The sequence below is a fragment of the Homo sapiens genome, chromosome 20 (assembly GCF_000001405.40).
Source record: "Homo sapiens chromosome 20, GRCh38.p14 Primary Assembly".
Classification (NCBI taxonomy): domain Eukaryota; kingdom Metazoa; phylum Chordata; class Mammalia; order Primates; family Hominidae; genus Homo; species Homo sapiens.
The window spans coordinates 47056706-47073860 of NC_000020.11; the positions used below are offsets into that span (position 1 = coordinate 47056706).

The window sequence follows — 17155 nt, forward strand, 5'->3', positions numbered from 1 at the left end:
CAGGCTCTGAAATCCAAGGAGACAGGACCCTGCTCTTTCTCAAAATAGAAATCTCAGGACTGGGCATGGTGGCTCACACCTATAATCCCAGAAATTTGGGAGGCCGAGGCGGGCAGATTGCTTGAGCCCAGAAGTTCGAGACCAGCCTAGGCAAGAGAGCAAAACCCTGTCTCTATAAAAAGTAAAAAACTTAGCTGGGTGTGGTGGTGCACACCTGTAGTCCCAGCTGCTTGGGAGGCTGAGGTGGGAGGATCGCCTGAGCCCGGGGAGGTTGAGGCTGCAGTGAGCTAAGATCACACGTCTACACTCCAGCCTGGGTGACAGAGTGAGGCACTGTTGAAAGAAAGAAAGGGAGAAAGAAGGGAGGGAGGGAGGGAGGAAGGAAGAAAGGAAGGAGGGAGGGAGGGAGGGAAGGAAGAAGACAGGAAGGAGGGAGGAAGGAAGGAAGGAAGGAAGGAAGGAAGGAAGGAAGGAAGGAATCTCAGCACGTACTAGGCACTCAACAAAGATGTGATGGCTGAAGGAAAATGAATGAGCAGCTGAGTGAATGAAAGGTTTGCCCAGGAGGTGAGGGGATGGGGCAGGGCTTGCCAGCTGCAGCCAGGTCTTTGCCTTCACCACTTTGTATTCTGGGTAAAGAAAAGAAACAGAGAAATAGACTATGAAGCCTGGGATTTGTCCCTTTCTGGAACTTGGGCTGTGGTCAGGGTGCTTGAGTGGGTGAATTTTGTAACAGGCTCACGCCTCTCTACCCACTTGTGGCTTTTCCATTCTATACATTATCTGCTGACTACTTTTTATATCACCCCCCCCCCCCATCTCATACCTCCAGACCTTTTCCACTTGCAGTCCTGGTAGGTTTTCAGCAATTTTATTTTCACATCAACATCAGTAAGACTTTATTAAGATGGAGAACACATGCTTTGAGGTGTCACTGTGGAACCAGTACAGAGGTCCCTTTGCTATGGGGAAAGAAATTGTAAGGTGGAAGGGGGGATGTCTGTTCACTGGGATTACCCATGAGGCCTCCTTTGCACTGCCGGGGCTGGCATGTCAGATCCATGGGTGACCATGAGTTCACTGTAGGTTGGCCCAAAAGAACTAAGGCAGGCAGTGGCCTGTGCAACTTCCCACAGGTGTGTGGAGGCAGGACGGCCTGCTGGCTGGGAGTCAGGCTGACCTGGGCTTGAACCCTGCTCCACCCCTTCCCAGGAGGGCCTGCTTCCTAGGGCTGTGGTGGAGATTAAACAAGATAATGCATGCAAACTGATAAGCGATGAGGAAGATAGTAAGTGCTCAATAAATGGAGGCTATTATTACTAGTTCATTAGTATTTATCCAGCTGCTAATGCCAACAACTGAAAGTCTTCCAAGGGCTTGGATTAAGTTAATACCGGGTTTGGCCCAGGAAAAGGAGGAAGGTTTGCATGGTAACTGTCACCTCTCCTTAAAAAGAGGAGGAAATCCAGAAGACAACAAGCCCAAGGAGGGATGTTTAGAATCATCGGTCATCAGAGAAATGTAGACTAAAGACAACGAATGAGATGTTAGTCCCATAGGCTGGCAAAAATAGCAAGTGGGATTATGCCAAGTGCCTGTAGGGGTGTAGGATGTGGGAACCACCTATGGACGGGGCACCCAGCCATTCAGGAAATTAGGTCTGTGCAACCTTGGGACCCAGTGGTCCCACTCTATCCCAGGTCCCACTATATCCTGAGGAAACTCACACACAGGCCCACAAGGGGATGGGTGCGAGGGCGTTTATGGCAGCCTTGCTGGTGATGGCAGGAGAGAGAGGCCATACTGGTGCTGACCCTGGGGGAGTCAGTAGGAGAGATGTGAAGGACACACATGGAAGGCCAGGTGTGGTAGCTCATGTTTGTAATCCCAGTGCTTTGAGAGGTCAAGGTGGGAGGATCACTTGAGGCCAGGAGTTTGAGACCAACCTGGGCAATATAGCAAGATCCCAATCTCTAGAAAAATAAATATCCAGGTATGGTGGTGCACACCTGTAGTCCCTGCTACTTGGGAGGCTGTGGGAGGAGAATCAATTGAGCCCAGGAATTCAGAGCTGTGGTGAGCTATGATCGTGCCACTGCACCCCAGCCTGGGCAACAGAGCAAGACCTAGTCTCTTAAAAAAGAATGCAAATGGTGGAGGAGGAGACATGCCCACGGCAACATGGGTGGGTCTTAACAACTTAATGCTGGGAGAAAACAGAAACCCCACAAAACAATACACACAGAATTTACAGAAACAAATGCCTGCTCCCGAAACACTAGTGCATGTTTTGCACTAATGCACAAACAAGAGAATATGCAACAGGCACACCAGAATTAGTGCCTGTGGAGTGATGGGGAATGACAGGAAACAAATAAATAACAGGAGGGGTCTTGGGTGGGCTCATAAGGAAAATGTGCATGAACCAAATTAACTCTGCCTTAACACCCGAGGTGCAGGATGGTGAGCGGGGAGGGACCGGCTTCTGAGGCTGTCCACATAGTTTCCCACGCTGGGAGTGCCACAGTTCCTGGGACATAAAGAATCCCTCTGTCCTTTGTATAGTAGGTATAAATCTCAGACTACAGGCTCGAGGGGCCAGAAATAAAACTTTATTTTCAGCATGTCAATGTAATTTCTGTTTATTTTGTTGTTTGTTTGTGTGTTGACATGGAGTCTCACTCTGTCTCCCAGGCTGGAGTGCAGTGGCATGATCTTGGCTCACTGCAACTTCTGCCTCCTGGGTTCAATTCTCCTGCCTCAGCCTCCCAAGTAGCTAGGATTACAGGTGCCCGCCACCACACCCAGCTGATTTTTGTATTTTTAGTAGAGACGGGGTTTTGCCCTGTTGGCCAGGCTGGTCTCGAACTCCTGACCTCGTGATCCACCTGCCTTGGCCTCCCAAAGTGCTGGGATTATAGGCATGAGCCACTGTACCTGGCCCATAATTTCTATTTCAAGCCACCATTCTTCTGGGAAAGTGAGAAAGTTTCATCTTAGTCATTTGGGGCTTTCCCCAAACTCTCCAGAATTTTGGCCATGGTTGTGGAATCTTACTCAGTGCTAGTCTATTTGTAGTGCTGAAGGCTCATCCGATTCTCCATCATCAGGACCCAGGCCACTGTCTTGGTCTAGGAGGCCCCTTTGGGTCTGGACTCTTCACATCTGTGTCTTTGCCACACTGAGGACCCAGGAACCTTTCACTATTCTGTCTTCCTAGAGCAGAGATCACAACCTGGAAGCCCACAGCCCCCTCTACACTACAAACACAGTTTTGTTTATTTTGTTTTGTTTTTGGTTTTATTTTTTGGTCCAACTAACTCATATTTGTTACCTGCATTTAAAACTCAGGAGATTTTACATACAAATCCAGAAGCCCTGGCTACATTAGACTCACATTCTTATGGGGCAGAGGTTGGCTGGAGCTGAATAGTGTTCTATCAGTGAGGAATGCTTTTAGCTGCAAGTAATAACAAGCCCAACTAATATTGGCTAAACTATAATCACGTTCATTGTGTATTTAACAAGAACTCTCTACCCCAAGGTTCGTTTGGCATCTCAATTATATAATCAAAAATCAGATTCATTTTATCCTTCTCCCATTTTGGCCTCAGCATATGAGCCTTTTGCTTCTACTCTCATGGCTTCATGGCCCAACATGGCTGCAGTCACTCCAGGAACATCCTCACATGACTCGGGAGGAGGTGTGGGGAGTGAAACAAAAGAATAGTCTTTCCCAGAAGCCCCCTTGGCCAAAACTAGATAATATGGGCCATTCTGAAGAAGGATCCAGCATCACATCCTGCAAGGGAGGCCAGGAATGCAAGACTTAGTCTTCATCAGCCTGGGCAGAGGGAAGCTATCAGGGGAGCGAGGAATCAGGCATGCCTGTTGGGAGGCCAAGTGGTATCTGCCACAAACCGCTGCTCCCTAAATACAGCTTGGCATTCCAGTTTGCCACAGTCCCCACCATCCCCTGTTGCTCCCCAGCACTGAAGCCATCTATCACTGTGCCTGCAGCACCTCCTTCCCTCACTGGTGTTGCTTGCTACACCTGTAAGGTTTGGATGCTGCCGGCCTCGGACTCTTCATGCACAGAAGTGAAGGGTCCACAGCTGCTCATCTTCATCAATCGCTCTCTCTCTCTTTTTTTTTTTTTTTTTTTTGGAAATGGGGTTTTGCTCTTGTTGCCCAGGCTGGAGTGCAATGGTGTGATCTTGGCTCACTGCAACCTCTGCCTCCCAGGTTCAAGTGATTCTCCTGCCTCAGCCTCCTGAGTAGCTGGGATTACAGCGCCTGCCACCATGCCCAGCTAATTTTGTATTTTTAGTAGAGATGGGGTTTTACCATGTTGGTCAGGCTGGTCTCAAACTCCTGACCTCAAGTGATCCACCCACCTTGGCCTCCCAAACTGCTGGGATTACAGACATGAGCCACCGCACCCAGCCCAACTTCATCTCTTTACTCTCCTTCTTCCCTTGTCTCTTGTCCTACCCCATTTCCCTAGCCTTGAAGAATTGCCCTCCTTTAAGAAAATCAGGCCTGGCATGCTGGCTTACGCCTATAATCTCAGCACTTTGGGAGGCCTAGGCAGGAGGATCCCTTGAGTCCAGGAGTTTGACACCAGCCTCGGCAATATAGCAAGACCCCACCTCTACAGAAAATACAAGAAAACATTAGCTGGGCATGGTGTCATGTGCCCGTAGTCCCAGCTACTCGGGCGGCCAAGGTGGGAGGATCGCTTGAGCCCAGGAAGTCAAGGCTGCATTGAACTATGATGGCACCACTGCACTCAGCCTTGGCGACAGAGGGAGACCCTGTCTCAACTGAAAAAAAAAAATCCCTCTTAATTCATGTTTCCTGCTAAGCCATTTTGCCTACCTCAATCTAATTCACAGTTGGTTCACCAACGGCAGCCAGTCCACAAACAGCTGCTGGTCTACAGTAACAAATATGGAACTGAGAGAAAAAGTGAGACATGTTTACAGCAATTAGATACGGCCACAGCATCCAAGCACATGATCCTACGCTCATCTCATTGCAGAGGGTGTAGGCGAGTTTGGGACTGTTGCATCACAGGGCCAATTGCCTGTGGTGTGAGTTGCATGCTAATCACACATCGTGAACCACGTCTTAGTCCCCAAAGGGTTAGACATTTGGAAACGGATTCTTCCCCACAGAGCTGAGAAACACAGGCGTACACCTCAGGTCCTCCCAGACTCTCAGGAGGACTTGGAACCTCAAGAGCCAGGATAACTCATTTCTGCTGTTCCTTCTTTCCACCTTGCTATGCCCCAGCTTGGGCTCCATGATCCACGATGGGACTGTCTGGGAGGAAGAATCCCAAGGCAGCGTCTCAAAACATCACCCTGACACATTTGCCTTCCTGCCTGAATCCTGGGCTCACTTACCACTTCTCACACGTGATGACGTGATGAGGAATACCTGGTGCATCCTGGACGTCCAATTGTCCACCTCGGACCACCACCCCAGGAGCACTTCCTCAGCAGAGAAGTTGAGGAGAAATTTCCAGAAAATGTACACATCCTCAGCATTTTCTTGAGTATCTGTCCATTAAACATATCCATCTAGATATGATTTTTAAATGGTCTAATCCACCATGTAAAATGGGATCTGGAGTTGAACAGGCCCCTCTGGAGTGCCCCCTTGGACTGCACAGCTGGGGCTGAGTTCGCAGGGAGGTCACCCCGGTATCGCAGGCAGGCGCTGGCTCTTTTATGCAGTTATCTCCAGTTATTGGGGAAACAGGAAGGCATGGCATCAGGCTCCAGGATCGGTGCAGAAAACATGTTCGCTTCCCAAGGTACATGTAGCGGCTCTCCTGGCAGCTGTAATAAGGGAGGATGGCTCTTTCGAACTGAAAATATTTTGAAGATCCCAAATCTCACCCAGATTCTGAGCAGCTCTGGCACATGAGCTGTTTTGTGATCTCAGATCTCGGGTTCGTGTTACATGGGAGGGCCGGGCCCAGCTTGTCCTCCCTCTGTCCAGAAGAGCCTTCTGCGGTGAATCTCAGCAGCCTGGTTAACGTTGAGTCATAATATTGCCAATAAAAGGAAAGAAAAATATGGAAAGGGGGTATGCAGTTGGTGCCAAAGGGAGAGGGATTTGTTCCCTCAACTCCGGAGTGGGGCTGAAGGCATCTTTGAACCTCAGATATAGTCTCTTCTCTCGGGCCTCAAGGTGTAGGGTGCCCAGGAGTGTGGCAGAAGGCGGGGGTTCTGATCTTTCTGGGCCTTTCTGTGCCCTTTCTTTTGCTGCCAAAGCCTGGGAGACAGGCCATGGGGGCAGTGTGGGGAGGTAGTGGGAGCAGTTTTGTTTTTTAAATTAAGGTAAAATTCCCATAACATAGAATTAACCATTAACCATTTTAAAGTGTACAACTCTGTGGCGTTTAGTGCGTTCACAGTGTTATGCAGTCACCACCTCCAATTCCAACACATTTTCATCGCCCCAAAAGGAAACCCCATAACCTTTAAGCGGTCATGTCTAATACTCCATCCCCCAGCCCTGGCAATCACAAGCCTACTTTTTTTTGTCTCTGTAGACTATCTTATTCTGGATACTTTATATGAATACAAATCCCTCAGTATGTGGCCTTGTATGTCTGACTTATTTTATTTGGCATAATGTTTTTTGGGTTTATTTGTGTGTGTGTGCGTGTGCGTGTGTGTGTGTGTGTGTGTGTGTGTGTGTGTGTGTGTTTTGAGACAGTGAGGCAGGAGAATAGGGTCTGGAGGCAGAGAACCTAAGGCCAATTCATGCTGACTTCCTAGAACTGAATCAAAAGGAAAACCCCACCTCTGCACACCCAAGTAACAAAAGAATCAGAGGCTACTCCCTTTGCAACTCCCTGCCCCTTTTCCACTTTGTTGCAGATGAAAAGGAGAAAGTACCTCTGATTGTGGGCCAAGTCTTCATTTGCATAGGTTATAACTTTGTAACTTTACTTCAGCCTCTGGTCCTTCCTTGCAACCAGACTGGCCGTGGGCCAAGTCTTCATTTACTTAAGGTGTAACCAGATAACCAATGGGAAACCTCTAGAGGATATTTAAACCCCGGAAAACTCTGTAACCAGGACTCCTGAGCTGCTCCCACCACTCTGTGGGGTGTAATTTGGTTTCAATACATCTGTGCTTTTGTTGCTTCATTCTTTCATTGCTTTGCTTTTTTGTGCATTTTGTCCAATCCTTTGTTCAAAATGTCAAGAACCTGGGCGACTAATAGTCAAGGCCCTCCACCAGTAACAACAGGGTCTCACTCCCATTGCCCAGGCTGGAGTGCAGTGGCGCCATCTGGGCTTGCTGCAGCTTCAACTTCCCAGGCTCAGATGATATTCCTACCACAGCCTCCAGAAGAGCTGGGACTACAAGCATGCATCACCATGCCCGGTTAATTTTTTGTATTTTTAGTAAAGATGGGATTTCAACATGTTGCCCAGGCTGATCTCAAACTCCTGGGCTCAAGTGATCCACCCTCCTCAGCCTCCCAAAGTGCTGGGATTATAGGTATGAGCCACCATGCCCAGCCTCATTTGGCATAATGTTTTCAAAGGTCATCCATGCTGTATGTAGCATGTATCAGAATTTCATTCCTCTTTATGGCGGAATAATATTCCATTGTATGGCTGAACCACATTTTGTTTATCCGTTCAGCCGTCAGTGGACACTTGGATCATTTCCACCTTTCAGCCACTGTGAGTAGTGCTCCTGTGAACTTTTGCATACAAGTTTTTGCTTAAATACTTGTTTTCAATTATTTTGGGTATAAACCCAGAAGTACAATTGCTGAGTCATATGGTAGTTTTGTATGTACCTTTTTGAGGAATCATCCAGTGTTTTCCACAGCTTTTTATGCACCGTTTTACATTCCACCAGCGTGTGTGAGTGTTCCATTCCTCCACATCCTCACCAACACATTTTTTCTTTTTCTTTTTCTATCTTTATTATGGCCAACCTAGCGAGTGTGAAGGAGCAGCAGTTTTCAGCCCAGACACTCGTGTTGGGTCATGGGACCTTTCCCACTCTGAGTTTCTGTAAACTGAAGGACAATGCCCACCTTAGAGAGTAGACAGCAGCGTCACATAAGTCACTGTACATAGCATCCCCAGCACAGTGTCCAACATGAGAGATGCTGTTCACTGGGGCACTGTATTAGTCTGTTCTCATGCTGCTAGTAAAACATACCTGAGGCTGGGTCATTTATAAAGGAAGGAGGTTTAATTGACTCACAGTTCCACATGGCTGCGGAGGCCTCACAATCATGGTGGAAGGCAAAGGAGGAGCAAAGTCACGTCTTACATGGTGGCAGGCAAGAGAACATGTGCAGGGGAACTCCCCTTTATAAAACCATCAGATCTCATGAGACTTATTCACTATCACCAGAACAGCATGGGAAAGATCTGCCCCCATGATTCAATTACCTCCCACCAGGTCCCTCCCATGACACGTGGGAATTATGGGAGCTACAATTCAAGATGAGATTTGGGTGGGGACACAGCCAAACTATATCAGGTACCAAGGCCACCTCCAGGCACCATATTACCCAGTGCTTCTCATTCTCACTGTCATGAAGGACAAGGGCTTCTTCCCCCATTTAGCGTAAAATAAAAATGAATCACCAGAATATGTATTCTCAGTAGGGGAAATATCATCCCAAGAGGGGAAAAAGTGGTCCCTGGGAGTGGAGCAAAAACACATACACATACAGTCCCAAAACAGATATACAGTCTAACTATAATAGTAAAATTTCATGGGAGGTGGGGCAATTAGGGGAGAAAAAAAAATTATAAAAGAACCCTGGCGAAGGGTGGCAATAATGAAAAAAAGGTTGAGAAACAATGAAGTTTAAAGCAATTTAAATTTGTTTAATTTTTATTTTATAATTTTTAATAAATTAAAAGCGTGATTTTTTTATTAGATTTAACAGGCATAAAGTACTGTATTAAATTGCTCTGGAGGTTTAAATTTCTCTATTTATCTCAGACTGGTAATAAACACAGTGGCTTTCAATTTCTCTATTTATCTCATCATAGACTGGTAATAAACGGTTTGTGAGCAGGCACCAATCTGCAGTTCACACCTCAGTAGTGCTGTGCAGAAGCATCACTGCGTCTTTGTCTGTCTGGAATTATCTCACTTCCTTATGTATCTGTTCATTTGATTGTTGTCTGTCTCTCTTACCTGAATGTCAGTGTCAACACCATATCTAAAACAGTGTCTGCCACACGGTGATATTTGGTACATCACTAGGAAATGAATTGTTGAATGCCTGAGGGAATGAATGAACAAATTAATGATTGAATGAATATCCACTTAAAAATTGTTTTGCTGGCTGGGCATGGTGACTTACACCTGTAATCTGAGCATTTAGGGAGGCCAAGGTGGGCAGATTGCTTGAGCCCAGGAGTTCAACACCAGCTTTGGCAACATGGCAAAACTCCATCTCTACAAAAAATTAGCCAGATGTGGTGGCATGCTCCTGTAGTCTCAGCTACTCAGGAGGCTAAGGTAGGAGGGTCACCAGAGTCTGGGAGGTCAAGACTGCAGTGAGCTGTGATCATGCCACTGCACTCCAGCCTGGGCAACAGAGTGAGACCTTGTCTCAAAAAAAAAAAATTATTTTACTGAGTCAGGCACTGGAGGCTACTTTTACTTAAAACCCAAGAAAACCAATCAACCAAAAATGGTAGCAGTTCTCTGCCTTTGACAGAGACTCAAAATAGCAATGTCTTCAACAAGAAAGAAGGGTATTTCTCTCTCACCTAAAAGTCCTAACTAATGTGGCCATTCTAGTCTGCAAACGTGATGGGGGTCCAAGCTCCTCATGTCCTGTTGCTCAGCTGCATATCCAAGATGGCCCCATTCCATGGAGAAAGAGAAGCTGCCACTGCCCTTCAAAATTTACTCCTATCCCTTTGCCTAGAACTCATCATGTGGCCACATTTAGCCATAGGGAATCTGGGAATTGTAGTTTTTATTCTAATCAGCCATGTGCTCAGCTTAGAAACAGATTCTATTAATATGAGAGAGAAGGGGTGAATCAATATTAGGGGACCCTCCAGGAGACCTGCCACCATCACCTTAAGAGGATGTTTTTTTCATCTCATCTTTGCCTTCCCTCACTGGGCATTGTATCAGCCAGAAGGAAGAAAGAGGTCAGTGTTTCACATTCCAGCACCAAGCTGGGTCTGTTTGTCAAAACCCTCCAGAGACCACAACTTGTGGCACAAGACTTCAGGGGCCACGTGCCCCCTTCTTCCTGGGTCCTCTCTGGCACAGGATGGATTTCTCACTGCAGGCACTCTGTGGCTGCCCTCACGCTGTAGTTTGTTCAGCTGTCCATTCTTCAGCTGACCCTGGGTCACAAAATGAAAATAAACAAGAGACTATTTTGGAGAAAGCATACCAAGGGACAAGACGATAGCCTGTTTATTTCCAAACCTGCCCTGAGTCATCATTCAGAAGGTTCATGCAAAAGAAAAGAGAAATCAGAAGAGAAAACACTGCAGTCAGGAGTCTTCTGAGACAGGTGGCTTCCTAAGCTTTTGCAAGTAGGGTCACCATGGTAACCAGAACCAAACAGATGACCTCGAATGGAATAGACTGACCTAGACCTTCTGCTAAATGTGTCTGGGCAGGACATTGAGGATAGAGTGGGATTTTGTTGACTATAGTCAACAAAAATTTAAATGTACATTCTCAAATAACTGGAAGAGTATAATTGGATTGTTTATAACACAAAGGATAAATGCTTGAGGTGATGGATACCCCATTTACCCTGATTTGATCATTACACATTGCATGTCTCTATCAAAATAGCTCATGTCACCCATAAATATATACACCTAATATGTACCCACAAAAATTAAAAATTTTTAAATTAAAAAAAAATTTAATGTAACGAACCAAATTGTATATTGAGCTGTTGGCACAACCACATAGAGAGGAACTATCTTAAATGACTTTATTTACACATATTTTTATTCTTTTCCTTTTTCTTTCTTCCTTCCTGATGTTTCCAGCTTTTTTATCCTTTTCTTTCTATGAGAAGAATTTCCTGTACCCATTCTTTCTGGGTAGAGCTGCTGTAACAAATTCTTTTGGTTTTCCTTCATTCGAGGATGTCTTAGTTTTCCCTTCATTCCTGAAGGATATTGTCTCTGGATATAGCATTCTGAGTTGATGTTTCTTTTCCTTAAGCCCTTGAAAAATGTTGTGCCATTTCCTTCCGGCCTCCATGGTTCCTGATGAGAAATCTGCTGTCATTCCTATTCTTTTTCCCTTATTCTGGCACATTTTGTTTGATTAATAAATGAATGAATAAAAGAATTAATCTTAGCTTCACAGCCTACTAGCTTTATGACTTGGGAAAAACTCCATTCCTAAGCCTCAGTTTCTCTGTATGGAACATGGGAATGGCAATTATATACCTTCCTCTCAGGATCGATGTGAGGATTAAGTGCAGTTATATACAAAGTGCCTAATACAGTGCTTGGTGCATAAAGCACTCAATAATCTCAGTGGAATGAATAAATGAATGCATGCATGAATTAATGAACTAATTAATGGCCTCAGTATCTTTGTGTAGAGAAGCCATGTGCTGCCATGGAAAGGCCCTGAGCTGGGAAGCATGAGACAGGCTTAAGGCCTTCTCTGCTGCCAAGACCAAAGCACAGGATCAGCACTGTTTGCCTTCCCTCTTTGTGCCTCAGTCTCCCCATTTGGACCATAAAGAATTTGGCATGGACTATTGGTTCTCAATTCTCAGTGTGTACTAGGATCTCCCAGAAAGGTTTGTTGTTGTTGTTGTTGTTTTCATATACTGATGCCTGGCCCAACTCTAGACTAACTCAAATCAGACTCTCTGTGGGAAGGGCCCTCAGACTGCTTTTTTGTTCTGTTTTGTTTTTTGTTTCAAGTTCTTTGGGAGATTCTGATGCAGAACAAGGGTTGAGATCCTATGGTTCTGATGGATCCATCATCTTGGATAATTTTAGAGGTGTTGTGGTTCCTTTATTATCCTCTTATCTTCTCCTACCTCACCCCAGGAAGTAAGTTTCCTGGAGTCCATTGTGTTCATTTTAGCCACTTTATAAAAAGTAGTGTGGGCTCTAGAAGCTTCTTGTTTGATGTAAGTCACCGCTCATTTGAGTAGCCATTTGTTTTCTAACCAGCAACTAGTGTGAATGTTTAGAGATGTGCCTGCAGTTGTGCGGTTGCTGCTTTAAAACCTCTGACAGCAGTCCATGCCCCTTCAGCAGATGCAAACCATGCTCCAGGCTTCCGGGTCCTGAAGCATCCAGCCCTAACTTTCTTAATCTGGCCTCATCTTATAAAAGAAGTCTGTTGATTCAGTCCAATTCCTACCAAAATCCCAGATGGTGTTTAGTAGAAACTGACATGCAAAGTAACTAAAAGCCAAAACAAACTTGAAAAAGAACAAAGTTGGAGAACTTATACTACCTGGTTTCAAAACTCACCATAGGCCGGGCTCAGTGGCTCACGTCTGTAATCCCAACACTTTGGGAAGCTGAGGCAGGTGGATCACCTGAGGTCAGGAGTTCAAGACCAGCCTGGCCAACATAGTAAAACCCCATCTCTACTAAAAATACAAAAAATTAACTGGGCATAGTGGTGGGCACCTGTAATCCCTTGGGAGGCTGAGGCAGGAGAATCACTTGAACCTGAGAGGCGGAGATTGCAGTGAGCCTAGATTGCGCCTCTGCACTCCAGCCTGGGTGAGAAGAGCGAGATTCTGTTTTTTAAAAAAAATCACCATAAAGCTTCAGTAATAAGGATAGGATGGAATTGGTATAGGATAGATAAATCAGTGAAACAGAATAAAGTCCAGAAATAAACCTTCTCATTTATGGTCAGTTTATCTTTGGCAAATGTACCAAGTAATTCAGTGGGGGAAGAAATGGATACCCCTTCTCCATGATGTGTTTATATCATATTTCATACTTATATCAAAACATCTCATGTACCCCATAAATATATACACCTACTGTGTACCCACAAAAATTTTAAAAAATAATAAAATCAGTGGGAGAAAGGATAGACTTTTTATAGTGGTCCTGGAACAACTGTGTGTGTGTATATGTATATATACACACATATACATACATATATATGCACATATATATATATGAAAAGATGAATTTAAGTCCTTAATCCACACTGTATACAAAGATTAACTTAAATTGGATCATAGACCTAAATACAAGAATACTGTGAAATTTCTAGAAGAAAACACAAGAGCAGTTCTTTGTGACCTTGAATTAGGCAACAAAAGCAAAATGCATCAAAGAAAAAAATCAACAACCTACAATCTTTTGCTCTTCAAAAGACACCATTAAGAAAAAGACAAGCCACAAACTGGGAGATAATATTCACAAATCATGTATCTGATCAAGGACTTGTGTCCAAGATATATAAAGAACTCTTATAACAGTAATAAGAGGCCAAACCTAATTTTTTAAAAAGATTTGACTAGGGTTTGATGGGAAAAAGATTTGAGTAGATATTTCATCAAAGAAGATATGTGAATGGCTAAAAAGCACATGAAAAATGCCCAACACCATTAGTCATTGGAGAAATGCTACTTAAAACCACAGTGAGATACAACCACATACTTCGTAGAGTGGCTGTAATCAAGAAGACTGAAATGACCAAGTGCTGGAGAATCGAGAACTCTCGTGCATTACCAGTCAGAATGTAAAATGGCACAGCCACTTAGGAAAACAGTTTGGCCATTTCTTTTAAAAGGTAAACATATGCTTACCACACAACTCTGTAATTCTACTCTTAGGGATTTACCCAAGAGAAATGAAAATATATATCCATACAAAGACTTGTATGTGAATGCTTATATTGCATTATCCATAATAGCCCAATATTGGATGTTGTACATCTATGCCATTGTGCATTGTTGTTTAATGGGTACATAGTTCCAATTTTACAAGAAGAAAAATGTTCTAAAGATGAATGATGGTGATGAGTACCCAATAATGTGGATGTAGTTAATGCCACTGAACTGTACACTTTAAAATGGTTAAGAGGGTAAATTTTATGTTGTATATATACCACAATTTTTTAAATAAATAATTTTTATTTTTTATTTTATTTACTGTTTTCTAGAGACAGGGTCTTGCCGTGTTGCGCAGGCTGGAGTGCAGTGGTGAGATTGTAGTTTACTGCAGCCTCAAACTCCTAGGTTCAAGCAATCCCCCCGCCTCAGCCTCCCAAGTAGCTGGAACTATAGGCATGCGCCACCACACCTGGAATTTTTTTTTTTCCAAGATGGAGTCTTGCTCTGTCACCCAGAGCTGGAGTGCAGTGGCACAGTCTTGGCTCGCTGCTACCTCCGCCTCCCGAGTTCAAGCAGTTCTCCTGCCTCAGCCTCCCTAGTAGCTGGGATTACAGGCACACACCACCACGCCTGGCTAATTTTTGTATTTTTAGTAGAGACAGAATTTCACCATGTTGGCCAGGTTGGTCTCGAGCTCCTGACCTCCTGATCCTCCCGTCTCAGCCTCCCAAAGTGCTGGGATTACAGGTGTGAGCCACTGTGCCCAGCCAATGTTTTAATTTTTTTGTAGAGACAACATCTCACTATGTTGACCAGACTACTAGAGTGGCCATAATCAAGAAGACTGAAACTACCAAGTGCTGGAGAATCTAGAACTCTCGTGAATTCCTAGTAAGAATGCAAATGGCACAGCCACTTTGGAAAACAGTTTGGCCATTTCTTTAAAAAGTGAAACACTTAAATGACCAAACTCCGGGGCTCAAGTGATCCTCCCACCTCAGCCTCCCAAAGCATTGGAATTACAGAAAAATCTGAGGCCACCACACCTGGCCTCAAATTTTTTAAAAACATAATTATTAAGGACCAGGATCTGGGTAGTGGGCACTATCTCACTTATTTCTCACCATAGCCCTTTGAAAAGGACACCGTTTATTTTCTTCATCTATCCAGGAAATTGAGGTTCAGAGAAATTTGGTAACCAAAGTCACAGGTTCCATCCCAGCCTGTCAGACCTCAAAGACCCCACCTGGCCATGGTACCCTCCTCCTGCATGTTCCTCTCCGACTGTAAGAAACCTAACCTGGCTCTTGGGTCTGGGCCGCCAACATGCCATCCGGACAGAGGAAGATCCAGAGACTTAGGGGTCACGTGAGCCATAGCCACGGCCGCATCAGCAAGCACTTGGAAGCACCCAGGAGGCCGTGGTGATGCTGGTGGTAGGCGTCACCAGAGGATTAGTGTCAACAAGTCTCACCTGGGTTGCTTTGGGAACGCTGGTGTGAGGCATTACCACTAGGAACCAGAGCTTCTGCCCAGCTGTCACCCTTGAAGCCACATGGAGGGAGGTTCATGAAATGCTAACAACTGCTTTAAAGAGAAAAAAAGACAAGAACCCTAACCTGTACCCCTGTTCCTCCTTCCCACAGGCACAACAGGGTTCTATCAAGGAGGAAATGGACTGGGCAACGCAGCCGGTTTCGGGAGTGTGCACCAGGTAGACATGGCTCCCTCCCGATTCTTTCCTCAGTTCTTTCTGGAAATATTCCCCTTACATCAGGGCACCCAGAGAGCCCACGACACACACAATCCCCATTGGGAACCTGCCTCTTAGTCCCTGGGTTTGGAGACTACAGGGGCTAGATTGTGCAAAAGGCTGCTGGAAGGACACAGTATACAGGCGGAGACGTAGGAATTGTTAGAAGATTCCTGAGATGTCATGGAGATCTACAAGTATGTTCCATCTTGACCTGGACTCAGGACACCCATTGACTGTTGAATCTGATATATATCAATACAAATGGGTGGGTTCTTTCACCAGACCATGGGCTTCTCAAGGGGGACCGTATATCTTGCTCACCTCTGCATCCCCAGTGGTGAGAGCCCAGCACACAGTGGGGGCTTTATAAATACTTGTTAAATAGAGCAAAGTCAACTCTATATAGGTAAATGTTGGCTAGTACTTTGATTCTCTTGGTGTCACTTACAAAGTGAATTAAGAGTTCGCATCTGCTCAAAGTGTGCAGTAACTCTGCTGTGTGTACACCTTCCCTGTACACCTAAAATTATTTCAAAACAAAAGGTTCACCTGCTTTCAGGCTACCATTTAAAACAGAACCACCCTGGGGTAGATGGGCTTTAGGAATATTTAACATATTTAGATCTGAGGAATACGCAATTTCTTTTCCAGTGAGAATCTAAATAATTTAAAACTTAGCAAATGTAAAAATTGTTTCATGTATTTTTGCATTATTTCTAATGTACTATGTACATAGATAAAATACTTATAAATAAAACAGTACTTTTTAAGATGTGGTTCTTAACCCTCCATTTCACCATTAAATCTGTGTTTTTCAAAAACACTGACCACCCCCGCAACCCCCACCCCCAGGAACTCTGACTCCCAGCTCTGGGGTGGGGCCCAGGAAGCAGAACGTTCCATGAGTTCCGTGCAGGGTTGAGAAGCACTGGTTTGGTGATAGTGCGGCAGGATATTTGAAACAATGACTGTTGGAGAATTGGGATCGCTGGTCTGCTTAAACAAAGCTTGATCAAAGGTGATTGGCAGCTATTGAATTGATCTCCATGACTCCCTCATAGAATATTCTGGACCCCTAATGCTGTGTAGGTGCTGCTGTATTTGCACCTCCTCCCCATGAACATAAAATGTCACCTAGTCTCCTGGGTTTGTGTGTCGTGTGGGTGTGTGTGCGGTCTTCTAGGTTTGTGTGTGTGTCGTGGGGGGGGGGTGCAGTGTGGTCTTAATTGTTAATGCATTTGTTTATTAATTTAACCAGTATTTGTTGAGTTACTGCATATACCAGGCACTGTTTCAGGTGCAGAGGATACAATAGTGACCAGGACAGGTGCCATCAGGGCCACGTCTATATCCCTTAGGGTGGCCTGTGGACCTCCAGGTGCCAGCATCTGCATGCCTGGGCCCAAGGGGCTTTTCTAGAACCAGTGCACGGGGCAGGCAGGAAGTGCCTGGGAATTAAAGCCCCCTGGGTGCAGCTCTCAAAGACCAACAAGTTGATGTATAAACCCCTCCACTCCCTTGACCCGTGGGAGAGGCAGTTCTGAGATGTGGATTTTAGACCATCTC

General features: G+C 45.1%; 1 protein-coding gene across 5 annotated transcripts in view; it reads left to right on the top strand.

Annotated features, from left to right (window-relative positions):
- The window catches only part of EYA2 (EYA transcriptional coactivator and phosphatase 2), a 294002-nt gene that overhangs the window by 161863 nt on the left and 114984 nt on the right, over positions 1-17155 (top strand). For 4 of the 5 annotated variants that reach the window (NM_005244.5, NM_172110.4, XM_017027721.3 and 1 more), the window contains exon 6: positions 15480-15547. The exons of the other annotated variant lie outside the window; for it this stretch is intronic. In NM_005244.5, the coding sequence (NP_005235.3) occupies positions 15480-15547 (68 nt within the window). The remainder of the gene's footprint in view (positions 1-15479; positions 15548-17155) is intronic. 5 annotated transcript variants of the gene reach the window in all.